Source organism: Homo sapiens, chromosome 8, assembly GCF_000001405.40.
Source record: "Homo sapiens chromosome 8, GRCh38.p14 Primary Assembly".
Classification (NCBI taxonomy): Eukaryota; Metazoa; Chordata; class Mammalia; order Primates; family Hominidae; genus Homo; species Homo sapiens.
In genome coordinates, this window is record NC_000008.11 from 55,082,233 (window position 1) to 55,109,891 (window position 27,659).

The window sequence follows — 27,659 nt, forward strand, 5'->3', positions numbered from 1 at the left end:
CCCACTGTAAGGTGAGGAACATCTGTGGTCTGAACTACACTTTGAAAGAAGGTATATATTGTCCCTGGATTTTTACTAGCAATTTCTATATTCCTCAGTATCTTCCATTCACCTACATAATGCACTCAACCAATATCTTAAAGAAGTCACATATTTATTCCTGCAGCAAAATTTTATACCAAACAAATAATATTTATAAAAATTAAAACATAATAAAGTTCTTCACAAGAATCCCAAATCTTTTTCTTCTATCACCTCACAGCACCTAAGAAAACTAGGAGCAGAGAGCAGGTTTTCAATGAGTATCCACTGTGTGTGTGTGCCTTGGGGAAAGTCTTAGACGACAACCAATTATTTCTTCAGTGTGTTGGATGAATCACAGAAATAGCAATTTAGTTCATTTTCAAGACATAAGCAGGATAATTGGGTTTCAGATGAAGTGAGGATTAGTCCTTACAATTAGGGAACGTATTTGCTAACCGCCTCTTGGATTTACAGTGGGTTGTACCGATGGCCAGCAAGTTTTTCTCTCTCCCCGACATGGGTCGCTGGTGGAGTGTGAAAGCAATGGACTCCTTGTTATGAAGCTTTACCCATGAATCTGCTTTTGGGTTTTCCAGCATTTATTCTTCATGTACTTCTCCTTTTTTTTCCCCTCAAGTAAAAGCTTATTTTATTTCTCACATTTCTTCACCTGAAATTATAAGCATATTATTATTATTTTATGAAGCATGTCAAAACAATACACTAATAGCATTGTAGTGTTTAAGGCTCTTTAGTATATAACCTATTTATAGGCAATAATAAGTAGCTTTGCTAGAATAATGAGTAAATAAAGAAAAAATGAAGACACATGCTGGCAGTTTGCCATCTTTGTACATTTTCTATATTTGCAAGCTAGTTCATGGGCAATTCTTTGAATTAAGAAATTGTCCTTACATCTAGTAGCTGATTGTCCATATGGCTTTTAATAAGATGATATGAAGGAGTGATGATTATATGTGGACACATCCTTTTTTCTCCCAGGAATTTTTTACTGGATTTATATGGAGAAACATGGCATTGTGTTAAATTAATATAGTTAAAAGCTGAACTGGATGTGGTGATGACCTTTCCTCCTTCTCTTTCCAAAAGTTCCCAGCTGTGGACTTTGAGTGGGAGTAACATTATTCTCTGCTGTAAGGGTGAGCCTTGGCTTAGTCCAATGGCTGTGTTTCTTCTGTCTGAAATTTGTCATGGATGAACATACATTGCAATTTGGGCCAATAAGACAGATGTTTACTAGGGACTCTGGAAAATTCATTCTTTGGAGGCTGTCAGAAGAGAGATAATTTCTTTCTCTGGATAGTGTGCTATGGGATTTGAGGTTGAAGCTGCTGCAGCTATGTTGCTGGCCAGAGGGGGTCATCCTGGAGATGATGATCCCACGCAGAGGAAGCCGATGCTGAGAGACTTTGGGGGAAAGAAAGGCTGATCGTAATGACCCGGGAAGCTCTGGATTCAGTCTCTCCTGAGTTAGATCTGCTATTCTTTAGTTATGTTAATCAATATATTACCAGTGTTGCTTAAACCAGATTGAATCATACTTTCTATTTCTGGCAACCAAAGCATGCCAACAAATGTAACTTTCCAGCTACCCAAGCAAGAGAATCCTGCATCTACTTCACATTGATGGTAGTTTTTAAAGAGCCGTCTCCCCGCCCCCACTTTTATTTTTTGATTTTTCTATGCCAGAAAAGCCTTAATTCATTTTTTTTTTTTTTTTTTTTTTTTTTTTTGTAGAGACGGAGACTCACTATGTTGCTCAGGCTGGTCTGAAACTCCTGGCCTCAAGCCATCCTCTCACCTTAACCTCTCAAAGTGTTACAATTAGAGGTGTGAGCCACCACACCTGGTGGCTTTAACTTTATTCAAATTTTCAAAAGTAATTTAACCAAGATGCTCTATGGAGTTCCTCACCTGCCTCTTAAATGAGTTTGAGATTCAATTTTTCAATCAGAGTTTATTGACCACATACTATGTAAGTAGCCATCACCCTTTCTTCCAAAAGAGCACTTCCATTTTTATGCAGCTAAATATATGAACTACTGATTTGGTCTAACCTCATCCTGATGATTACAGAATTGAGCCTAAAGGAGGCTAAGTGATTTGTTTGAGGTCTCCTGGTAAATTTCAGAGTTGAAATGAAACTCCTGGTTTCTTGATCCATGATTCAGTGGCCTTTTGTTAGATTCTACTGCCTTCTCACATTGATTGTCACTACTTTCGATAATAATTATGATATTATTATTTTTTTCCAGGCTTTAATATCCAAATCAGTTTGGTCTGCAAAAATTGAATCAGAAAGCTAACAAGAACTGACTTTCCTATGAAATTTCTAGCACTTCCTATTTTCAGACAAGCTAGAAATACCCCGTGAACAGCCTTTCTCATGAGATTTGGCATCTGCCTCTTGCTATGATCAGAAATAAAAAGTGTAGAAGTTGGAGAAAATTAACTAGAAAAATACACCTGAAATGTCTTGGGTCTACATACACATGGGAATTTTCAAATATCAGACCCAGGTCCTAACACTGCTCAAACTCTGTTGATTTTTCCCTATAGACCAAAGGTTTGTCTGGACTTGTCGTGTTTTCACAGTGATCATTTTCCTATTTCGAAGCGCTATATGTTGTGATAATAATAATTTCAGAATTGAGATGAAAATTCTTTTTTTGCTTTTAACAATCAGATTCAGAAATGATTATTTACTGATCATCTCCTGTTAAGTTGTGACCTTTCTCCCAAAAGAAAACTACAGGGTCCACTTGGACATTGATCTTGGAAGTTTCTCTGTGTCCTGAATGGTAATAATGCAAGTGGCCCCTGATAGGATCCGAGAAGACAAATAAAGACATAAAATCAGCCCTTCAGAAATATAATTTCCTTACTTACTGCTGCAGTAGGGACTGGAATGGATTTTAACTCCAATCCCAGGAGTGCAGTCGGGTTACTTAGTATCAGTGTTCATTATACTAAACCACTTTGTGATCCACTATGTGCTTTGTTTCATTCCTGTGCCTTTCATTAGTTGTGTGTAACATAATTCTCTTTGATGCCATATTTGATTTTCATGTGTAAATAAGCCCTGCCTAATCTATTTGTTTTCCTTTAGTGGCTGTGTTGCTTATTGGGGTGGAGGATTCACCCTCTACCTCATCTGTCCTTTGTCTGATGAGTGTACTCATCTGGGGCGGATCAGCATGGGAAATGTATCCTAATCTTAAAACTCACTCAAAATATGTTGTTTTTATTGTGATCAAGTAGTGAGGGTAGTCACTTCCATCTCTTATATTAGAGACTGTCCTTGGAGACTACAGTCCCAGGCTTTCAGAGAGCAATGCCCAAGTTGCTTATATAAATGGAATGTTGGAAAAATCAACTGAACGAATAACTATAAATATTTTATTTGAAAAGAAAAGAGGAAGTATAAACTGAAGAATGGGGTATCCCATTTTAACAAAGAGAAAAAACATTTCTCTTTCTGCCGTGGAGTGCAGTGGTGCCACCTCGCCTCACTGCAACCTCCGCCTCTGGGGTTCAAGCGATTTTCCCACCTCAGCTTCTCAAGTAGCTAGGATTACAGGTGTCCACCGTCACTCCCAGCTAATTTTTGTATTTTTAGTAGAAACGGGGTTTCACCATCTTGGCCAGGCTGGTCTCGAACTCCTGAACTCAAGTGATCCACCCATCTCTCAAAGTGCTGGGATTGCAGGCATGAGCCACCATGCCCGGTCTCTCTTTCTGCTTTCTAAACTTTCTAATATGTCATATGAATATTTTATATAGGAGATTCTGGATAGGCAGATATATAGGTAGACAGGTGGATAGATAGATAAATGGATATACACATATATGCGTGCATGTACTTAATTATGAGGTATTTTTAGTATGTAGATTACTCTGAAACATTCATTAAGTCAGGAAACAAATAGGAGATTTTTTAAAGCATTAAGGTAAAAAAGATCTGTAGAGAAATTTAAAAAATTATACAGACAAATATTTATTAAGTGAATCCTAATAACTTTGATTCTATCTCTTTTGGCCATCATCACGCTACAAGAAAGTTGTTACCCTGTTGTCTATAATAGTTAAATGATGGACAGGATGCAACAAGATACTGAGTCTTGTTCAGTTGAGTCTTTTCCAACAATGCACACTTGAATACATCCACTCTAGATATATTAGAGTTGTTCCTGATATAATTAAAAACAAACACTGCTCAAAGTTTCCTGATGGTCAAATCATGTCAGTCATCTCTTCTATGGTGTAGGCACCTGCAATGAACCCTCACAGTGTGATTTCAGTATAATGAGCTTAGTAGTGCGGCTGAGTGCTTTGTTTTAAAATCCTCAAAATACAAGTTTGGTTTGCTCATCAGTTTCATCTGACTGATTTACTTAGTTGGTAAGCACGATCAGAGCCAAATCCTGCCCTAAGAGTTTATGTGTCCTGTCACTGTGGACCAAGAGGGAGCAACACTGTCCTGATACCCCAGGGGCTCTGGTTAGCAGCCAACTGTGTGGTGATTGACCCAGTGTTTCTGAGTGACGATCACTGTCCTCTTTCCCACATTCACCTTCTTTTACAAGTCTCTCTGTTCATGATTTCAACACTACTGGACACATAACCATCCCCAAGGATGGCTTGGCAAGGATCCTTTGGTATAACCAGGAAACACCAGGGCTTCCAGCTTATCCTGCTTATCAACAGTGACATTTTCAGGATTCAAATGCAACACAAAATGGGTCTAGAGTGGACTTAACTCAGGCATCTGAAGCTCATCTCTATTGACTCCAGACTCTATTGATCCTAGAACCTCATGGCAGTGAAGACAGGTCTTGACCCTCCTCACTTCACCCTGGTCTCTGATTCTCTTCTTTCCTAATGAAGTATCTTTTATACTAAAACCTATGACCTATAGATAAAAAGCTGTAGACATCCCCATTTTCTTGATTCAGGGAAGCCATTTGACTTCGTCACGTTCCAAAGATAAGAAACTGAATCCAATATTCAGAAGAACAAAGTCTGACTGACCTTAGTGCCTTTGACCTTGATGACACCCACAGTTTAAACAGCACCAGACTCTGTGAATGAAGCATGTGCCAATATCATGTATAATCCACTTATTCAAAAACATACTTGTGTTGAATACATGATGTGACATTTGCTCTGTAACTACCCCCTGGATGTTGGAATTCTCGGGGAGGCTGTACTGGGCGGGCAGTCCACACAATATTCACTATGTATCCACAGCATGCTTCAGCAAACCAAATTTCTCATTTGAATCTGCCTTCTGAGAGTTATTTCATCAAAACCATATTTCTCCTTGCACTTGTTCCTATGTGAAGCAGACAGTTACACCTAACCTTTGTAAATTTAGAAAATAAAAATTGCATTTGAGTAGAAAAAGCATTTGGTAGGCTTTTCAGGCTATTTAACTTAATTATTTCCATTAATCCTCTGTATATTTCTAATGTATTTACACATTTCCTTAAGAGTTTTACAGCATCTCAAATAATATCATTGCATTTTGGTGGATGTTTTACTAAATAATGTCTGTTTGTTATCACCTTAAACAATTTGTCATGATTCAATTTAATTCAATTGAAATCAAATTCTCCTGAAATTGTTTATGTAAAAGATTATCAAATATTTTATCCATCCTGACAAGTGGTTTATTATAGTTCTACAATTTATGGGTAACACACACTAGAGGCTTGGGGAAGCAGGGAAGCAGCAGGAACATTAAAACATTAAATACCTGTTATAATTCTGTCTGGGTGTTGAGTGTTTTTGCTTGTTTTGGTTAGGTTTGAGGATTTTTTTTTTTGAAAGTACAGTATAAGCTTGAGTATGACAGAAAAGAGAATTATCCCAGCATTGTACATTTTCATTTTTATGTTTTATCTTTTTATCAGAATGATTAAAACCAATTTCAATCTACATCTAATTTGCAAAGAAGAAAAGTTGAACTGCAAAGCCACTGGGTTTTTCAATATCTTCCAGTTTTAGACAAACAATAGGGAGTTTCCATTTCCGCTGCTTTCTGCATCTTCATATTTTCCAAGGCATGCATGAATCACCTCCGTTTGTTATAATGCACTTTCTCAAGGAACTTTGGAACTTAATTAGGAAAAAGGAGCTCAGCAGCGGCTGGAGCAGGGCCCAGTTCTCTCCAGACTTCAAAGGGAGCTCCTGCTGGGAAGGTGATTCAGGAGTAGGAAAGAAGAGGTGAGCATGGGGTCTCTGGACCCTCTGGAGCTGCTCTCTCCACTACCTTTGAATGAACGAAGCCCTGGGAGCCAATCTAGAAGCAGATTAAGGATAGTGAGGATCAAGTGCTGTGGGACAGAATTTGCTCACATCAATACCAGAGACATTGATGTTAGAGCAATTCAGATTTTGATGGGCCCATTTTTCCCTCATCATCTTTTTACACCTTGAATATATCCCTTTAGGTGGACGGTTTTGGAAATTCTCTTCTCTCCATGTACTTATCTTCTTGTGAAATTAATTACACATAATTCACTAAATGTGCCATGCATGATTTCATGCACATGTCTCTACTCTGCTTCCCTGCTGAATTCCTGCTAATTCTTTAGGAGCCCTCATCACACATCATCTCCTCTGCAAAGCTGTCCCTGATTCCAGAGTTAATTATACACTACTTGAATTCTTGTTTTATGTTATATGTATCGCTAATATACTTTTCATGTTATATTATTGGTATGCATGTTTATTTGCCAAGGTAGAGCAAAAGCTTTTTGAAAGAGTGATCTACATCTTCTCCGCATTTTTTTTTTTAATTTGAGACGGAGTCTGGCTCTGTAACCCAGGCTGGAGTGCAGTGGCACGATCTCAGCTCACTGCAACCTCCACCTTCTGGGTTCAAGAGATTCTACTGGCTCAGCCTCCTGAGTAGCTGGGATTACAGGCGCCCGCCACCATGCCCAGCTAATTTTTTTGTATTTTTAGTAGAGATGGGGTTTCACCATGTTGGCCAGGCTGGTCTGGAACTCCTGACCTTGGGTGATCTACCCACCTCAGCCTCCCAAAGTGCTGGGATTACAGGTTTGAGCCACTGCGCCTGGCAATCTTCTCCACTTTTTATACTCACCCATCGGGTACCAGAATGAAATTGTGATTGGCTGGATCTTAAAGTCCAGCGTCATTTAAGGCACCGCTATGCTCACTCCCTGCAGCTGTCTACACTTAGAAAGTGTGCCCTCCGTGTTTGTTGCATTAATGAAGTAATTAATTTGAAAACTTTTGGCCACACTCTTGATACTTGAGATCTGTGCTACATGTGTGATGATCAGTTTGCGGTCAACTAAGAGAGATGCTCGGCTCTAGGAATAATAGACCTTAACAGACAGAGCTACTGCATCTTCTCTGGTTTTCCAGAAAATCCCCCTGGAGTAGGCGCTGCATGAATATAAATAGCGGGGTCCACAAAACACCAATGCACCCTCCATATGTTCATTCACACAGAGACCCACAGGCTTGGAGGACATGTCACATGTTAGGCAGCTAGCAAGTAGCAAAGAAGGGACCAGTGCAGAGGGAACTTGACAAGAATTGGTGGCAGTCGGGATTTCTGATGTGACATGAAGCCAATAAAGCTTTGATTACTACTTATTCCCTCTGTTCCTTATCACTAGGCACAATTTAGCCTTTCATCTTTCTATATCTCCTTCTTTATTAAATAGAACTGGCAGAGGGCAACCTGGATCTCTTTGTTGTAAACCATAATGCCTTTACCTTTACCCTTTGTAGAATTCCTTGATGCCAATTGTGGGGAAAGAACCTTCCTTGCCTCTTCCAGTTTCTGGTAGTTCCTGGCATTCCTTGGCTTGTGGTGACATCCCTCCTACTGCTGCCTTTGTTTCACATCATTTCCTCCCTTGTGTATCTGTGTGCCCTTTTCTGTCTCTTATAAGGACACTGTCATTAGATTTTTTAGGTCCTACCCTATTAATACCAGGATGATTTTATCTCAATCTTTTCCTTAATTATATCTGCAAAGACTCTGTTTCCAAGTAAGGTTACTTTTTGTTGTTGTCGTTTTTTGAGGTGGAGTCTCGCTCTGTTGCCCAGGCTGGAGTGCAGTGGTGTGATCATGGCTCACAGCAACCTCCGCCTCTTGGGTTTAAGTGATTTTCCTGCCTTAGCCTCCTGAGTAGCTGGGATTACAGGCATGCACCAGCACACCTGGCTAATTTTTGTAGTTTTAGTAGAGACAGGGTTTCACCATGTTGGCCAGGCAGGTCTTGAACTCCTGACTTCAGATGATCTACCTGCCTTGGCCTCCCAAAGTGCTGGGATTACAGACGTGAGTCACTCACTGTGCCTGGCCTAAATAAGGTCACATTCTAACCTTCCAAGTGGACATGAATTTGGGGAGACACTCTTTAAGCCACTACAATGGAAAAAAAGTGTCTCTAAAAGTGGCTTGAAAGGTGGCCCCTGTCCAAAGAAGGCACATGGTGCACACTGCATGCCCTTCCCACCAGGCTGCCCATCCTCAGCCACTCTCCACTGCCAGCAAACCTGAGCTGGGGGGTCAGTCACCTGGCCACCTGTGAGTGAGTATATTCCTGATCCAGTGTCTTCTCCCAATACATCCTTTATTCTGCCCTCCCAGGCATATGTGAACACCTGGAATAATGGAATCCAGTGTGCAGAAAAGCCCTGCCTTGTGCCATTCCTGCATCTGGAAGAGGAGCACCCAGAAGCAGGAGGGGATGCCCTTGTCTGTGGTTCCATGCTATCTAGTCCTGGGCTGGTTGTGCCATGCTATGCCCACTCCCTCTATTTGCCTCATTTGGTCATTTCTGCAAGTTCATCTCTTTATTAAAACACATCGTGTTCTTTCCATTCCTCCTTCTATCCCTCTTCTGAATTCCCACTGATCTCTCACAGAAATCTTTCCTCTTTCTTGTCTTACTCCCTCTCCCCATCTCATGTGCATTTTATTTCTTAGCCCTTTACATCCCCAAAGCCCTAAAGTTAAAAATACTAGTGATATATCTGCATCAACAAAAAGGAAAACTATAAATTTTGAAGTAAAATCAGAAGAAAGAACCTGAACCATCAGCTTTTAATGCCCCTGAGAACAGGAGGCTGTCCACTCTGTCCCCCAGGTGAATGAATATCAGAAAGACTTTTTTTCAAATTTCCTCCTCCCAGAAAGAGAGGAAAATGTGTTTTTCTGATTAGTGACAATGGAAAAAGCCTCTTCCTGGTTCTGTCTCCTCCAGCCCCTTATCTAAGGGAAACACCCTTGGGTAAGAGTTCAGTCTTCTCTACACATCCCCCTGCAGACAAGTCGTGCAAAGCCAGAGCCAGGGACCAAGATTAGGAAGTTTAGTGCAGATGGATGGAAGCCACACTACCCAATGCACCTTAAAAAAAACATTGAAGCTGATATTTTGACCTACAGATGTGTGAAACTTGTTTCTGGTTCTCAATTGATTTGGAACTCAGAAGACTAGAATGGGATGCTTGTAACTCTTACCTGCAAACCACAATAATTGAAATTGGAAAAAGCAATCCCATTGGCCTATCTGTAAATTTTCAAAATAAAATAATATGTGTTCCACCATTATAGAGAGCAGGCACCATATTTTTTTTTTATTAATTTGGGCAGGATTGTGCTGTCCATTATGGTAGCCACCAGCCACACATGGCTACTGAGCGTTTGAAATGCATGGCATGGATTAAGAGGTGCTGTAAAAGTCACATACACAACAGATTACAATAACTTGGTTAATAAAAAGTAAAATATCTCAGTAATTTTTATGTGGATTATATCCTTAACATAGCAATATTTTTGACATAAGGGCTCAAATAAAATGTATTATTGAAATTTTTAAAAAAGAAGTGGGAAGGTCTCCTTCAATATATTTACAAAACCCTCCTAGGTGTTTTTTCCTAAAAGTTGATGAATTTATTGGTGTAAAGTTGCTTATAATATGTCCCTATCATACACGTGTGTACTTTCAGCTCTATGCAACTTATCACATGTGCAGGCTTGTGTCTTCCCCACCAGTCCAGAGGCAGAACATTCTCACCATGACAGGATCTTTTTGTAGCCATCTCCTCCATCCTTAACTCCTGGTAAGCACTAATTTCTTCGTCGTTTCTGTATTTTTATCACTTGAAGAATATTCTCTAAGGTTATACCACAGTATATAACTTTTTTTTTTTTTTTAGACAGAGTCTTGCTCTGTCACTAGGCTGGAGTGCAGTGGCGCAATCTCGGCTCAAAGCAACCTCCGACTACCTGTTCAAGTGATTCTCCTTCCTCAGCCTTCTGAGTAGCTGGGATTACAGGCACGTGCCACCACGCCCAGCTAAATTTTGTATTTTTGGTAGAGATGGAGTTTCACCATGTTGGCCAGAATGATCTTGATCTCCTGACCTCGTGATCTGCCCATGTCGGCCTCCCAAAGTGTTGGGATTACAGGTGTAAAAACCACACCCGGCCCACAGTATGTAACTTTGAACTGCTGAGTAGTATTTCACAGTGTGAATGTACTGCAGTTTGCTTAACCATTCACCCATTGAAAGGTGTCTGGATTGTTCTGTGTTTTTTTTTTTAGGATAATTACGAATAAAACTGCCATGAACATTCCTTTTCGTGAAAATGTAAATTTTCATTTCTCCAAGATAAATGCCCGAGGCTGCAATTGCTGAGCCCTATGGTCATTCCATGACATATTACCTTTTAAATTCTAGTGGAATTTGAAGTGACAGCCTCTCTTTCACACTGGATATTGATAATTTTTGTTTTCTCTTTTTCTTGCTTTTAACTTTATTGATTTTATTAATCATTTCCAAGTACCAGTTTTTCCAATTTTAAAAAACGACAAATTTTAGAGTAGTTTTAGATTTACAGAAAACTAACAAAGATGGTACTGAGTCCCCATATACCTCTCATTGAGTTTCCCCATTCATGACATCTCACATTACTATGGCACATTTGTCACAACTTAGAAATCCACATTGGTACAATACTTTTAACTACCTCATAGGCTTCATTCACATTGCACTGCTTCATTCACTAATGTCAGCTCCAGGATCCCATCCAGGACACAACATGACATTCAGTCATCACATCTCCTTTGGCTCCTCTTGGCAGTGACAGTTTTTCAGATTTTCTTTATGTTCAGTGACCTCGACAGCCTTAAGAAATACTGGTCAGGTGTTTTGCAGGATGTCTCTCAATTTATGTTTCTCTTTTGTTTTCCTTATGTTTAGACTGGGGTCATAAGTTTTGGGGAAGAAAACCACAGAAATGAAGTGTCCTCATTCCATGTTGACAGCGGCCATCCCTTTTGATGTTGATCTTGATCACCCCGCTAAGGGAATGTTTGCAATATTCTCCAAATAAAGTTATTCTTCCTCTTCCCACACTTTATTCTTTGGCAGCAAGCTGCTAAGCGCAGGCCACAATAAGAGGGGCCTGGTGGGAAGAATTAAGTTCCTTCTTCTGAAGGGCTCATTTACTTTTCCATTATCTTACTTTTCTCTCAAGTACCAGCTTCTAATAGAAATAAAACTCTCTTGATAAATCTTAATTTTTTAATAATAAGTGTCAGTATGGAAATGATATGTTTTCTGCTTTTCTATTGCAAATTTACGTTTCAGCGCTGTCAGGGTTAAACAGGTTTTATTGGCTGTCTTGGGGATTTAATCACCATTTATCATTTGTTCCTATTGGAAAATGATGTCAATCTTTTGATTGACATCAAATCTAAACCTGTGTTCAATCTTTCAATTGACTTCAAATCTAAACCTGTGTTCCCAGCATTTGAGATACTTCATTTTGGACCCTAACCTACATTCTTTGTGGTTTTTTCCTTTACTTAGTTGATATTGCTATGCCAATATGGAAATTAAAATTTTGGGACAACTCAACCCCCTCAATTCCTCTAATGACAATTGTTGGTACTTGTATCTCTTAGCACTAACCTGCTCCTTCTTCAACTAACTTTTAAACTTTAGTCTTTTAACATTGCCCTCACTTTTTCTGAACAGTCATTTTTGCTGATTTTTTGAGTAGCATTTCGGCAGTCTCTATGCTGTTCAAGCTTTAGCATTTCAAAAGCAACAATTATAGTTCTAACAATCCTCAGAAGAGCTGCAGAGTATTTGTCTGGGAAAGCTTTTTCTAGAATATTTATTAAATGTCTGTTAATATGCCAGACACTGTGTTAGGCTCTGGGCATGGAGTATACATGAGAGATTAGTGGACTATCATAAATCAGAAAGGTTTTATACAAAGTCGCCCTTTAATTCTCCACTCTGCTACCATAATGCATATTTCAAAACACAAAACCAGGCATGCCACTCTTTTATTTTAAATGCTTCAAGAGTCTCTGTAGTTTTGGGAGAAAAACATTACATCCTCTTAACTTATCCCATAGGAATTGTGGTATTGGGCAGTCTTTCAAACTCTCAAAGTCTTATTTGACTCTCTCTCTCTCTCCTTCTTTAAATAGTAGTAGTAGATCTGTCTGGGTTTATTTCACAAACGTGTAATGAGGCTTTAGTAAGGCAATGTATTTGAAAAACATAGGGCATAACATAATTTTATTTCCTCTTGGTTGTAAGCTTTTAATCTCATAGTTTAACATTACATTACAGAGCCATGTGTTATTCCCTTTATTAAATGGATATCTGGAAAGTTAATTACAAAAACGGATTTTGCAGCCTGGGCAACATATTGAGACCTCATCTCTACAAAAAATTAAAAAACAAAAATAGCTGGGTGTGGTAGCACACACTTGTAGTACCATCTACTTGGGAAGCTGAAGTGGGAGAATCACATGAGCCCAGGAGGTTGAGGCTGCAGAGAACTATGATCATGCCACTGCACTCTAGCTTGAATGATAGCTGAGACTCCATCTTAAAAATACATAAATATTTTTGACTATTTCCTACCATCCTCCCTGATCCCCCTGATTTGACACACAATTCTCTCAGCTAGATTCTTGTCTTCTTACTGGTCTTTCTGTTTTCACCCTTGCTTCCCTACCCTCAGCAGAGCAGTCAGTGATCCTTTTAAAAAGCATGCCAGATCACACTATTCAACTACTCACTGACTGCTCCTCAGAGCTGGCTACATAACTTGTGGGGCCCAGTGCAAACTAAAATGCAGGACCCCAGCCAGGGTCAGGGAAATAAATCCCCCTTCCCATTGACCTCCACCCCAACCCACAGTGGCTAAGCAATTTCTAAGAGAGTGTGGTCTTTACCTGGACATGATCAGCACCTGGATCCCAGGTGGGTGACAGGCCCCAACTTAGTCTTTGGCTGAATGCACCTGGTGCTGCCAGCCCAGGGAGGAGAGAGTCACCCTTTCTCATCCTGAAATGTCATGGGGCACATGCTTGACTCTGACACCCACACTTCTATGCCCAAGCCCCCACTGGGGTGGTGGGCAATAGCACAGAGGGAGTAGCCAGGCAGGCTACTCCAGGAGGTAGTTAGTAAGCATCTGGAGTCCATCCTAGGAAGACAGGGAGCCAGGAGCATATGTGAGCTGAGGCTCCAGGTCCCTGGCACATGCTCTGTCATCCCATTGCACTTCACTTACAAAACACACATTCAAAGATAAAATGTTGGAGACATGAGAGCACTGAAGCATGAGGACATTCTGAGCATGGAGCCCTGTGTACCTGCTCTGGTTGCACACCCATGAAGCCAGCCCTGGCTTATAGTTGTCCAATATCTTGTCATCTTGCACACATGAAAAGGAGAGTTTTTGTATTAGCATACAAGGTCCTACATAATCTGACCCCCAGACAATCGGTTTTTCTCTAACCCTATTTCTGACTCCTTAGCTACTCTTTTCATCCACTCCAGCTACACTGTTCTCCTTACTAGTTCTCAAACACACCAGGAAAGCTACTGCCCCAGGGTGGTTGCATGTGCTGTTCTTTATTCCTGGAATGTTTTTTTCCAAGTAGCCATAAGTCTTGTTTCATTTTCTTTACACCTTCACTTCATATCCTCCTTTGGCTATCCTTATTGTGAGTGGGGTACTCTCCTCCCTTCATTCAGATACCTAATTCCTACCTCTAGGCCACCTTCAAGGCGGTCTTGCTCTGTTACCTGCCTACCTAGGGCCTTATAATTCTGATTTCCAATCCAAGATTCCACCTCACTTTGTGGTGACAAACATGGGGAAACAGGATAACTTCTCCATTCTGCAGAGAGCCTACACACTTCCCACTGAACTCTGAACTTATCCTAGTAGACGCCAACACAGAAGCCACACCAGAATATGCATTACTGCTAACATCTGACTGGGCCTCACTATGTTGCCTAGGCTAGTCTTAAACTCCTGGCCTCAGGCAATCCTCTTGCCTTGACCTCCCAAAGTTCTAGGATCATAGGTGTGAGCCACCACACCTGGCTTCAAAAATGTAATTTGAAGTATTTTCTGGCAGATGAGACAAGGGGTCTAAGAAAAAGATATAGTCAAGGATGACGACCCTATTTTGGCTTGAGAAACTTAAAGAACAAAATTGTCATTAAAGGAAATGAGGAAGAAGCAGCAGATTTTGAAGGGGGAAGATCTGGAGTTCAGTTTTGGATGTTTTAAATTTGAGATGCCTAGAGGCATCCAAGTAGAGATGTTGAGAAAGCAGTTGGGTGTATTCTGGGATCCAGGGGGTTTCCAGCCTGGGGAAATAAATACAGGAGTCACCAGCATATAGGTGTAATTTTAAACATGACATTTTATGAAAGTATCAAGAGAGTGAGAATAGGTAGTGATATGGTTTGGCTGTGTCCCCACCCAAATCTCATCTTGAATTGTAGTTCCCATAATCCCCATGTGTCATTGGAGGGACCTGGTGGGAGGTAACTGAATCACAGGGGCAGTTACCTCCATGCTGTTTTTGTGATAGTGAGTGAGTTCCCATGAGATCTGATGGTTTTAAAAAAGGCTTTTCCCCTGCTTAACTCAGCACTTCTCCTTGCTGTCGCCATGTGAAGAAGGACATGTTTGCTTCTCCTTCTGTCATGATTGTAAGTTTTCTGAGGCCCCCCTAGCCCTGCAGAACTGTGAGTCAATTAAACCTCTTTCCTTTATAAGTTACCCAGTCTCAGGTATGTCCTTATAGCAGTGTGAGAATGGACTAATACACGTAGAGAAAGATATGAAGACTGAACCAGCTTAAAGGTAGGAGAAATGAGAAGAAATTAGCAAGGGACCCAGAATTAGCAAAGAAGTAGACTTCAAAACGGGAAAACCCCAGAGTGTGTGATATAGTGAAAGCCAAGGGAAGAGCAGATTTCACTGAGAAGAGAAGGTTCTACCATGTCAAATGCCACTAGGGGGTCAAGGAAGGTGAGACTGAAATGTTCAGTAAGGTGGCAATAGGCTGCCAGCGACTTGGTAAGAACAGTTCCAGTGGAGCAATTGTTGGTTTATTTGAATGTGTTCAAGAGAGGATCGAAGAACAGGAATTGAAGAAAGCAAGTTTAGGCAACTTTAGAGAGCTTTGTTGCAAAAGGTTTCAGGGAAGTGCAGTGGTGACTAGAAAGGGAATTGGAATCAAAAGTTTTGTTTTGCTTTGTTTTTTAACTAGTGGATACATAGGAGTGTGTTTGTACACTGATGTACAGGAGAGAGGGAACATTGATAATTGAAGCAATGAGTGTGGAATTGAGCTCTTGAGCAGTAAGAGGGGTGGGGGCTGGTGAACAGCAAGGGAGTTGGCCTTGTAGAGCAGGAGGCTGAGTGGTACACGTGCTGGCAGGTGGGCAGAGAAGGTGCTGAACGCTTGTGTGGGTTCTGCTCTGGTCGCTTCATCTTTCTCAGTGAAATAGGAAGCAGAGTCATCAGGGGAGAGTAAGAATGGGGAAGGAGGTGTTTAAAGCTTGAGAAAGGAAAATATAAAAAGACATAATTTAAAAGAGCAGGAATGCAAATGGACTGGGAAGATGAGGTGTGACTGTGGAGCAGCCTTTGGGTCCACTTCAGGGTAAAGGTCCAGGATAGAAAGAAGTGCAGTGTGCAGGGCCACGCCCCTTCTCCAGCTACAGCCAGTTACACAGGGTCAGGCCTGATGTAGGTGGAGAACAGAGTTTAACCAGGGCTGGTGTTTTGTCGAGTAAGAGGGACAACAGAGATGAGGAAGTGTGTGAGAGGTGCCTATCATGATTGAGCATGGAATTTACATCGTGTAAGAAGAAAGGGGGGGCATGAAGGGGTTAAGGGACATGAAAAGGAGGTAGAAAACAGGTCCAGGGGTACAGGAGAGAGTGAGCTCATGAGTTAGGAGGGGTTAATCAGAGTGTGAGGTATGTAAAGTGGAGATTATGAAGCTGTTGAGTAATGCTAAGGTTTAGGTTATACCAGCTGTCTCCAACCCTTTTGGAAGTAGGGACCGGTTTTGTGGAAGACAATTTTTCCACTGGGGTTGTTGGGGGGATGGTTTTGGGATGAAACTGTTCCACCTCAGATCATCAGGCATTTGTTAGATTCGCACAAGGAGGACACAACCTAGATCCCTTCAATGTGCAGTTCACAATAGGGGTCGCACTCCCATGAGAATCTAACGCCTCCACGGATCTGACAGGCGGCGGAGCTCAGGTGGTAATTTCACCCTGCCTGCCACAGCTCACCTCCTGCTGTGTGGCCCAGTTCCTAACAGGCCACTGACCTATACCAGTTTATGGCCCAGGAATTGGGGACCCCTGGGTTATACAATGAGAATAAATCTCTCAGATTGGATGGAAGACAAAATCATTGATGGAGAGATCACATTTCTGATAGGCCAGGAATCTGTAAGAAACAACAACTGATTGTGATGCAGGTAGTCCAAGGACTGTGTTTTGAGGAACTCTAGTTTTAAGTAGAGATGGAGAGCCAAACACAAAAGTTTAGAAGCCAGAAGACATGAGGGGGCTGGAAGAAACAGGAAAGATATTAACAGAATGTTGTGTGTGGAGTGTGCTGGACACAGCGTTAAACAGTTCACATGCCTCCTTGTTATTAGTATTAGTATTTGTTTCTGGCAACAAGACCAAATTCTAGAGATCATTATTGTCTCTATTTAACAAACGATGAGCATGAGGGACAGGCAAGTTAAATAACATGCACAAAGATAAGTCCAAACTCTGAACTTGCAACCATTATGTCCACCTGCCTTGACAGGTGCAATGATTATGATAGAGCAGTTAATATTAAAATCTATATCCTAAAATGTGATTACTAGACTTATGAGATTAGAGACTCTTGAGAACAGTATTGTATACAAAGCCCTGTAATATACATGATCTCATCTAATCCTCATATTAATCCTGTGTATTAATTTGCTAGGGTCATGGGGCCAGTAATTAGCAAAGCCTGGATGTGAAGCTCATCCTCTGACCTCCTGCTTGTAAACTCCTGCCACTAACTACCCGTCACCATTACTTTCCAGATATGGTTCAGACAGCAACCTTAAAGAGACTTTTGAATAAATGTATTGATAAAGAAACCGTTACTAGTTATTTCTTTTTAGAACCTAACATAAAAAGTTTCATAATTCCTGTGTTTCCATGGGAACATTCGTTAGCACAGAATGCAGCATTCTTCCTGTCATGGAATGTTCTTTCTATAAATTCATGCATTCACTCAACTAATATTTATTGAGCAAATAGTCTGTGCATGTGCTGTGCCAGGTGCAGAGGATACAGTCGAATAAGAAACATCCTGTTTTAGGGGAACCTTTAGTCAGCCCCAGGTCTTCAGCACCTCAGATACTCTGCAGGGCCTTTTCATGCCTGGTGTAATTTAAGACACTGCATTTGACCTAGAATACACTCCATCCCTTAGGACCCAGTTACCTAAGAGATCATTTCTCTCCCTAGTGGTTTGGCAGAGAGTAAGATCAGCAGTAGCACCCTGGAGATGGAATCTTAGATTTGGACTCCGGAGAAATAGAATCAGGGTGTTTTCCAAAAAAGGATTCTTCTACTCCAAGAAGACCCAATTTTAAAGCTGGATTTAAAAATATACCCGCTTGCCTGGCATACTAAGCATCTTAGTGGGACTGTGTTGCCCCTCAGCCATCACTTGGCTATTCCTTTCGCTAGAAATACCGGATTTGTACATGCCATGTAATCGTGTAGAGACTCTATGACTCAACACCCTCCTGCCAAAATGTCAGGTCAAGGCCAACCAAGGGAGGGTCCTGGGCACCAGTCTGTGAGAATAAAAGGCAATGAATCCAGAGCGTGGGGCAAATTCCACTTTATCCAGGTTGGTGATGACACAGCCCTTGATACGTAGCACACAATGCGTGAGGCGGCTCTTTCCACGTGCAGAGAAATCCGTGCACTTCTATTTCATAATGTTACTCATTAAGAATGGCACTGTGTACTAGTTCGAACTCACCTGGCGCCTACCAGAGAGAAGCGGGGGTGGGTGGGGGGTGTCATGGTTTGCCTCCTGATTTAGAAGATCCAACTGGTGCTCCTAGTGGCAGTGTAACTCGTGTTGCCTCACTTACCTCCCAAGTATGTGAGTCACAGTATAATTTAAGAATTACACTCTCTATTTCTTACATTTGCAAAAGCTAAGTGAGACAAATCAAAGCTTAAGTTTCCTTATTAAAAAAATGAAGATCCTATATTTTATTGAGGTTTTAAAAATCTCTTAAAACCACAACATATTTTGTATTCTCCTTGAATCACTCCGATCACAGATTTAATTTTTCGAGTCATTTCTGGAGTTGTGGGACCACACAGCTAGTTTGCAATCCCTATAGCTTTAAGAGAAGGTATTTCTAGTTTTGGAGTAAGGAGTAAGGGAGGTGGCGCCTGCTCCGGGCTCCGCCACTCCCCGCCCGCGGGCCGGGGGTGGGGTGGCACTCGGTTTCCCGCGGCTGCCGGCCGCGCCCCGCGCCGCCGCCAGGGGTGCTGCGCTTCCCACCTGCCGCAGGACGCCTCGAGGGCCGGTGCGGTGCCCACTGGGCTGCCGCTCCTCCCGGCTCAGAGCTTTCCAGCCGCCGAGAACGTGCGAGGGACCCCGGCGTCGGGCAGGGGCCTGGGCCGCGAAGGGCGGGAGCGCCTCCGCACCTGCCTGAGCTCAGGCACCCCCGCCCGCCGGAGAAGCCGGGAGCCCTCGGAATGCCGGCTGCCTCCACCGAGGGCGCTGGCTCGGGGCTCCCAGCGGACCCGCCCGCCCTCAGCTGCCGGCGCGGCACCAGGCTCCGCGCTCCGAGCCCCGTACGCCTTTCTCTCCCCTGCACTCTCTGGCAAGGCCGGGCACGCCCACTGCCGCTGCTGGCCTCCGAGCCCGGGCGCCCGAGTTACACCCATTCTCCCCACCATCGTCGGCCAGAGCCGCGCTCCCAGCCCTTCTCCAGGTGCTGGCGGCTCCGACCGGAATACAAAGAGGCCTGCTCCTCCCTGGCCCTTGCTGCCGCCACACCCGTCCGTGCCCACTCTCCGCCGTCCTCCGCGAGGGCTGCACGCAGGGACCCCTCCTCTCAGCGCGCTCCTCCCCCTCCCCCAGTGTCGCTCAAATCCACCCAGCGTTCCGAAATCCCGGGAGTGGGGGCCTTCGACTGTCACCCTCAGGCCCCCTTGGCCGCTCCTCCCGGCCCTTGGGACCCGCCAGGGCAGTCCCCCAACCCCCGCCCGCCGCTCCTCTCGGTCCCGGCCCCTCCTCCGGGTCCCTCCTCCTCCCTCGCCCCTCCCGAGCCAGGGTGGGAGCGACGGCAGCTGGAAGAGAAGGGATGAGGTCATCCTCTCCCTCGGAGTCAGCTGGTGGAGGAGAGGAAGCGGGAGGAGGGAGCGCGCGCGAGGGGAGGAGAGGAATGTGCAGGTCCGAGGAGCGCCGCGGCGGCCGCTGCTGCTCCTGCTGCTGGCGGCGGCGGCGGCTCGGGCGGCAGCAGCGAAGCCGGGACGGCGAGGAGCGCGGGCGGCGGGCAGGGGCGCGCGCGGGGCGCCGCGAGCAGCTTGGCTCCGCGCAGGCAGCCAGGCGGCGCTCCTGCCGGCCCCAGGCGCGCCGCTAGCCCGGCCCAGCGCCCAGCCCGGCGGGCGGCGGGCGGCGGCGGACGGCAGGCGAGCCGACGCAGGAGCAGGAGGAGGGGGAGCCGCACCGCCTGGGAGGGAAGCCGGGGCGAGGCGAGGAGGTGGCGGGAGGAGGAGACAGCGGGGAAAGGTGTCAGATAAAGGAGGGCTCTCCTCCGGTGTGGAGGCATCATGGCCGCTAAATCAGACGGGAGGCTGAAAATGAAGAAAAGCAGCGACGTGGCGTTCACCCCGCTGCAGAACTCGGACCACTCGGGCTCGGTGCAGGGATTGGCTCCAGGCTTGCCGTCGGGGTCGGGAGCCGAGGACGAGGAGGCGGCCGGGGGCGGCTGCTGCCCGGACGGCGGCGGCTGCTCGCGCTGCTGCTGCTGCTGCGCCGGGAGTGGCGGCTCCGCGGGCTCGGGCGGCTCCGGCGGCGTCGCCGGCCCGGGCGGCGGCGGGGCGGGCTCGGCTGCGCTGTGCCTGCGCCTGGGCAGGGAGCAGCGGCGCTACTCACTGTGGGACTGCCTCTGGATCCTGGCCGCCGTGGCCGTGTACTTCGCGGACGTGGGCACAGACGTCTGGCTCGCCGTGGACTACTACCTGCGCGGCCAGCGCTGGTGGTTCGGGCTCACGCTCTTCTTCGTGGTGCTCGGCTCTCTGTCGGTGCAAGTGTTCAGCTTCCGCTGGTTTGTGCACGATTTCAGCACCGAGGACAGCGCCACGGCCGCTGCTGCCTCCAGCTGCCCGCAGCCTGGAGCCGATTGCAAGACGGTGGTCGGCGGTGGGTCTGCAGCCGGGGAAGGCGAGGCTCGTCCTTCCACGCCGCAAAGGCAAGCATCTAACGCCAGCAAGAGCAACATCGCCGCGGCCAACAGCGGCAGCAACAGCAGCGGGGCTACCCGGGCCAGTGGCAAGCACAGGTCTGCGTCCTGCTCCTTCTGCATCTGGCTCCTGCAGTCACTCATCCACATCTTGCAGCTCGGGCAAATCTGGAGGTACTGTAATGGGTGGGGGAAAAGGGAGGCTTGCTGCTGCTACTACATCCCCACTGCTTTGCTTTTGCACGGAAATCTTTCAGGGTTGCTTTGGTAGTAACCCTAGTCACACTCTTCCAGTTTTTTGGGTTTCTTTTGAACTGGGGCTTGCATTTTTAAAATTTGCAATCTCAGTCTAGGGTGGGAGGGAAGTGAGAAGCAAGGGAAGGACAGCAAAGTGGTTTCGATCACCTCATCCCTTCTGTCTTCCCACTCTGCCTTACTGGCTTCTTGCTCTTGGCATGCCACAACCCCCCTCCCCGCTTCCCCATTTTTAGTGATATTGTTTCAGTGAGTAGGAGAGGATTCCTGTCACATCTTCTAAAATTCCTTTATTATTATATTGAATTTGAGGTGTGTGTTGCCATTTGGATGGTTTCTTTTGTTCCCTGGGGAAAAAAAATTGCTAATTCTAGTGAAATGGGAGTTGCTGCTGCTCAAAAGTACCCACATATTAATGATCACTGCTGGAGAAGTGCTTTACTCAAAGTAAAGATCCTAATAGGCAAATGACTTTGTATATATATATATATATATATATATATATATATATATATATATCCCCGAGCATGATTCAGTAAGCTTTATGGGGCCCAGATTTACTTTTAGAGTGCCCTTTCTGATTATCTTGCAATATCTCCATATCTAATTTCTCATATAATTACAAGCCTTTGGAAAAGGGGTGGGGCACCATGTTAACTTTAGTTGTACTTGGTATCTTCGTTGGCTACTTTGCTGCTTGTCATCTGATCTACCAAGTCTTTTTACACAGGGATCACTTCAGTTATAAACTGGAATACAAGGCTAAACTTGGGCAGAGGGAAACCACCACTTGAACAGTCACTGCATGGACTTAGGAGCAGAATGAAATAGTATGCTCAGGAATACATTCTTTTGACTTTTATATGCTACTAGCAGATTTCGAAGCAATATTTTACATCTATAAAAATTACTTATATGGAAGTCTATAGATTCTAACATGTCAGAGCTTTTTTGGTTTTAAAATAACTTAGTAAACAGGTGGTATAAGCGAAATGAGGACAATTCCTAGAAAGTACACCAATATGGGACTACACTCTGTGGTACTGGTGCTCTTTTTCAATTTTATTTGTGGCTATTTTTGTGATAAAAGATGTGAGTTCTTGACTATGCCGAAGTATCACCTGTGGAAACAAGTTAGAGGATTTGTGGACTAGAACCACAAACTTCTTTTTATTTATGATGAACAACCATATGTTCACCTGAGAAGAGCAAGTGTGGTGATTTCACAACCTTTCCTGGGACCAGAGCTTTGTAAAGCAGACTGAACATTGCCATAGATGGTGACCTTCCAGATTGTGAAACATTTTTTTTCAAGCACACACTTTCTGAAAAAGTGATATTTGATATGTAGTCAGACAAATTGATGTTGGAACCTTCATACATATTTTGGACTCAAAGTAACTTTTTGAAATTCTAGTTAAATATGATAGCTATATTTCCCATGGATGACTATTGGGAAGACTTATAGCTTGATGCTCTTCAAGTATGATGAAGGACTTAAGTGCTTAATTTACTTACTGAAATTACTGACTGGCTAGGATGCATCTGATTAGCATTTCTAATCTGATAATTTGGTAAATTAAGCTTAACATTCCATTTGTTAACTTTTTCAAACTTTATCAAGATTTGGAAATCACTTAATTTTAACCACCTTTCAAGTTTCTAGACTTATGTAAATAATTCAAATACTTCTCTATCCTGTTAACTGAAAAACTGTAATTTTTTTTACAGATTGATTCTTTATGAAAAATCTGATATTAAATTCTGTGAACCGAGGAAGTCCTTTTAATTATAGTTGTGTTTACTATACCTTCTAAACCAAACATCTCCCCAATTGAAAAATGATTCTTAATTTTCTAGGGGAATAATATACAGAATGTGAGAAATAATTAGGAAAAGATATGAGCCTAAAAACATGTCAGAGAGACCATAGCCACTGGGCCAACTTATCATACAGAAAAGTTATTTCAGAGGTAGGGAGTGGGGGCGGGGAGAGAAGGGATGGAAGGGTAAGGTTTGAATGTAGAAAGAAAACCGCAGGCTGTCAGACAAATGTATTAACTGACCCAGACTTGGAGAAACTGTGGTCACACATGGCTCCTTTTAGTTAAGCATTTCTATAGTATTTTCCTTAGAGGCTTTAAAGTTAATACTGATAATGCATGATCATCTAGGAGGAATATTGTAGTTGGAAATATTATCAGATATAATATTCTGGAAATATTTGTCAACATTTTCAGAATAATGTGTGTAGTAGATAAGTTTGAATTATCATCTAATCTAACTATTCTCAGATTCTGATTAAAATATTTGGGGGATGCCAGAGTAATCTGGTGAAAGCGTGATCTAAGACTAATCAGCATCATTTTCTGTTTATGAAGTATATTTTTCAAAAAAACAAAACTTTAGCCTAATGTAGGAAGTTGGAAAGGGATAAGAAAGCTTATGGAACTTAACACTCAGATGCGCTCTAATATGTTTCTATTTCTCTGAGTGTTGAACATTCATGTGGAACTTTGGGGGAGTAGACGCATCTTTGCTAATAAGCCGACGAAGTGCAACTCATCTCAGATTTTTCTATTAGACTCACTATGATTCCTTAAATTAGAAGCATCCCTGTGCCTCTTCTAGCTTTTCTTTTCAATACATTATACACAAATATTGCAGAAACACCAGAGTACTGAGTGGTTCAAAGCACAGAGGTCATTATTCATGTTTTAACATGCTACTTTCTGGGATCAATAAAATAGATTTTAGCTAGGTTGGTAACTGCTTCTTGTGTTTCCATGAAATTCTAATTATTTTAGGGAAGGACCAGATTCTAAAAGCTTTCTCTAAATACAGTCTTTTGAAATAACATCAAAGCATTTGCTTGTTTAGAAATAGCCATTGAAACATTGTGGGTAAGATTTGCATGTATTTATACATATGTTACAATGCAACTGCTAAAAGCAATGATACATATTCATTTTAATTAAAGTTTACTAATGGGAAATTAATGGCAGCTTTTAAAGTCGCAGGAGGTGAGCTTGGGAAAGAGCTATTTGAAATAATAAAGTGAATTTTTGCTACCATGTGAAAAGAGCAATTATGACTTTAAAGGAACTGTGCCTGTGAATGAATGCGAAAGTACTTTCCTTTCTTATTTTTCTCATATGATTCCAGAAATTACTAAGAGTGCAGTTTAGCCAGTGGGAATCACAAATTCCCTAAGAGAACAGTTTTTAGTCCTCATGCTTTTGATCAATTGCCTCCAAATGTCTTTTTCCTTCAGAAATTATGAAGTTTACTCTTAAAACTCTACCTGAATTTCTCCTATGTATGTATGTACATAGTTAATTATTTTCCAGAAAATATGCACATTGTAAATAATGAGTCAGTGGATGGTAGAGTGGGGAGCATTTTCACTATTCTTACTCTTCTGGGTTTTGTTTTTGAGTCTCCATCATGAGAGTCATCTGGGAAAAATGTGAGGAAAATGCAGTTTTTTCTGCTCTTGTCATGCTTGCTATTCCAGAAGGCACTGATTGTGTCCCATGTTCAAATAAGTTGGGAAAATGACAGATTAAACAAAGTTAAACAGCTCTCTCTACAGCAGGACTTCTCAGAGCCTTTTATAAGCTAAGGTACAGTTATCAGTTAAGTTTTTAAAGTCACATCTATTAAACATTCTTATAATGATGCATGCAAAGCACTTGGATAAATATGCCATTCTTAAAACTGGCCAAACAAAAATAATAACAATTTTATTGGCACTTTAAAAATATACAAATGTTTTTTTCTACTTTTTATGTCATCTACATTTTAAAATAACCTAAAAGAAAATTATTAGTATCTGTATATGTGAGACAACTGTCTCAGAGAGGTTAAGTAAGCGGCTTAACCTCTTAATAGGGTCACCCAACTATTATGTAGTGTAGTTAGGATTAAAAACGGGGCCCATTTTACCATACAGTCTATGCTTTTTCTGGCTGAACTGGCTACCTCCAAATGCCAACTTGGATAATGATGACAACAATGTATAAAAATAACAATTTACCTTCACTGTGGATGGCAAAGTGGGAAAGGGAGCTGCAGTTTAGATGGATTAGGGGATCTTTCCAATAACACACTGGTAGTTAAACAGTAAAACAGAGACTTGAGCTTAGCTCTTTGAACTCCCAGTTCATTGCCTAACTTACTATACCATTTGGACATACTGAGGTTGTTTTATTAAATCCCAGCTAAGGAACATGATCTCGTAGTAGTTTTAATGATTACATGGCATAATGTATGTGAATATGTGAAAAGTTAATTACAAATGATAAAGAGGTTCTAGAGATAAAGAATGGGTAGAAAAACTAAGGAGGATATAGGTTACACCTTTGACTATTAAAAAAGGTGGTCTTCAATTCTGAGTTAGTCCTGAATTCTGATATAGATTAGGCAAGATTGGTGCCATTTGCTGAGTTTATCAAATGGTTATTTTCTGCATATATGTGTTTCCTCTCTATACATATAAATTAATTAGTCATTCAACACACACTGAGCACCTGCTATGTGCAAGGCACTGTGCTTGTTACTAATTATTCCAAGATGAATAACATATATATATTTCAAGGAATCTACTCTCTAATAGGGAAGACAGAAAAGTCAGTAGACCATCTCAATAGAAGAAAATAAGCACGATAGAAACAGGAAACGCAAACTGCCTTGATGGTTCAGGTAAGACTCTCTGGAAGAGGGGATATCTGAGCAAAGGTTTGAGGGATGAGAAAAATCTGCTTTCTGAGTAAAGTGGGACATTGACTTTAGAGCCCTGGATGCAATGTGTAAAGGCAGAGAGGCAAGAAAGAACAAGGCAGGTTAAGTGCATGCTCTACATATGGAGTGAGGGAGGGAGAGTAGCTAGAGATGAGATGAAGAACTAGTTGGGCCAGATAATGAAAGGAATTTAGATTGTATTTTGAAGGCATGAAGGAGTCATGAAGGATTATAGGGGGTGAGGACTGTTAAGAAAAGTGTTAAAACACTGTTTTATTCAAAGGAATGGCAGAAAGTTGAAAGCTTCAGAGGCTATGTCATTATTCATCTCTGACTCAGTCATGTCTCTGTCATTCATGGAAATCTATTGGCTTCACAGGCTTTGAGTTTGGATGTCATTGGGACATATAAATAGACCCATCATAATGGGAGAGTCATTTTTCAGAAAAACAAGTTGGTTGAAAGTTTTAATTGTATTTATATTAAAATAATATTAAAGTAAATTATTGGCAAAACTTTCTTTGGTGTTACTATTTGAAGAGTTATTTTCTTAGGATACAGTGGTTTTTACCTTATTGAAAGTTAGTTCTTCTGATCCATAGAAATATATTCCTTATGTTTATTAGTCACATTTAACTGTCCAGAGAGCTTCTATGTTCTATTTCTTATTTGACCCTTTGAATGATCTTGGAGGTAGCACTTCTATTTTGCAGATGTGGAAATTGAGAGAGAGAATTTTAATTGTTTTCCTCCTTGGGTCATATATTTCTGGACAGATTTTAAGCTAGAACTCAATACTGATATGGGAGGGGTGAAAGCAACATGGAAAATGGCTGATGGTACTGAGGATGATGAGGTAGAAGAGAAGCCCGAAAACTTGAGAGCTCCATAGTAAGTGCTGAACTGTTGTAACCTGGAAGAGGCATTGGACTTTTGTGTAGGCCCCCTGGGACAAAATGGGTGGGACCTATAGGAAGAGATTTTGAATTGATGGAAGGAAGAAGTTTTTTAGTAGTCGAAGATATTTGCAGATCAACTGGGCTTCCTTAGAAGCAGTGAGTTTCCCATCACTGGAGTGTCGAAGCATAGTCAGGAAAATTAGGTAGAGATGTGGTAGAGAGACTAACTCTCATACAGAGGGTTGTACCAGAAGATCATCTTCCAGCTCTGAGATTTTGTGATAATCTCCATCATAACATGCTGCTCCAAACATATTAGACTAACCTTTGCTTTTTTGTGGATGAAAGAAGTAGAATGAATTTTCGTGCAACACTATAATTGTGCCACTTTAAAATCTATTCGTTGGTTTATAGACTCAGTATCTTCCCTGGAGCATCACAAATCCATATGCCACCCCTGAGTGCTGGCTTTGGCATCAAGATCTCTGAGTTAGCTGACAGGTATAAATCCACACACAATCAGACAGCTCCTTGTGCATTTACCTGGGTTTCTGTATGAATTGGAATAATTTATGTATAAATCTCTGTGGTGGGTATATCTCTGTGATGTCTTTGCAATAACTAGTGCAAAGATTGTAAATTTTTTCCATTCACTTGAACTATGAAGTGTTTACTTCACAAGGGTAAATATTTTTATACTTATTACTCCCCAACCGACTAACTTAACAGAACAGTTGAATGTGTAGCATCTGTATACATGTATACTATCAGTTTTGAACAATGTCCACAAATCCTTGGAGCAATAGCTTTGAAAGTCTTTGCTCAATCTCTTACAAAATGTTTCTTCATGATTGAGTATCCAAGCACACAACTT

General features: G+C 42.3%; 1 protein-coding gene across 1 annotated transcript in view, besides 3 other annotated features; it reads left to right on the forward strand.

Moving 5' to 3' along the window:
* Positions 18,870-19,039: a silencer, noted in NCBI's record as "silent region_19200". NCBI's record gives its function as "represses an Ori minimal core promoter by ATAC-STARR-seq in GM12878 lymphoblastoid cells {active_cell/tissue: GM12878}" and the evidence as "EXISTENCE:reporter gene assay evidence [ECO:0000049][PMID:35858748]".
* Positions 19,451-20,118: an enhancer, noted in NCBI's record as "H3K27ac hESC enhancer chr8:56014243-56014910 (GRCh37/hg19 assembly coordinates)". NCBI's record gives its function as "activates a minimal SCP1, AML or CMV promoter by ChIP-STARR-seq in naive H9 embryonic stem cells {active_cell/tissue: H9 hESC(naive)}" and the evidence as "EXISTENCE:reporter gene assay evidence [ECO:0000049][PMID:30033119]".
* Positions 19,796-27,659, forward strand: part of XKR4 (XK related 4) — a 440,027-nt gene continuing 432,163 nt past the window's right edge. The window contains exon 1 of the mRNA NM_052898.2: positions 19,796-21,062. Coding sequence (NP_443130.1) covers positions 20,257-21,062 — 806 coding nt within the window. The 5' untranslated portion in view covers positions 19,796-20,256. The remainder of the gene's footprint in view (positions 21,063-27,659) is intronic.
* Positions 20,787-21,452: an enhancer, noted in NCBI's record as "H3K4me1 hESC enhancer chr8:56015579-56016244 (GRCh37/hg19 assembly coordinates)". NCBI's record gives its function as "activates a minimal SCP1, AML or CMV promoter by ChIP-STARR-seq in naive H9 embryonic stem cells {active_cell/tissue: H9 hESC(naive)}" and the evidence as "EXISTENCE:reporter gene assay evidence [ECO:0000049][PMID:30033119]".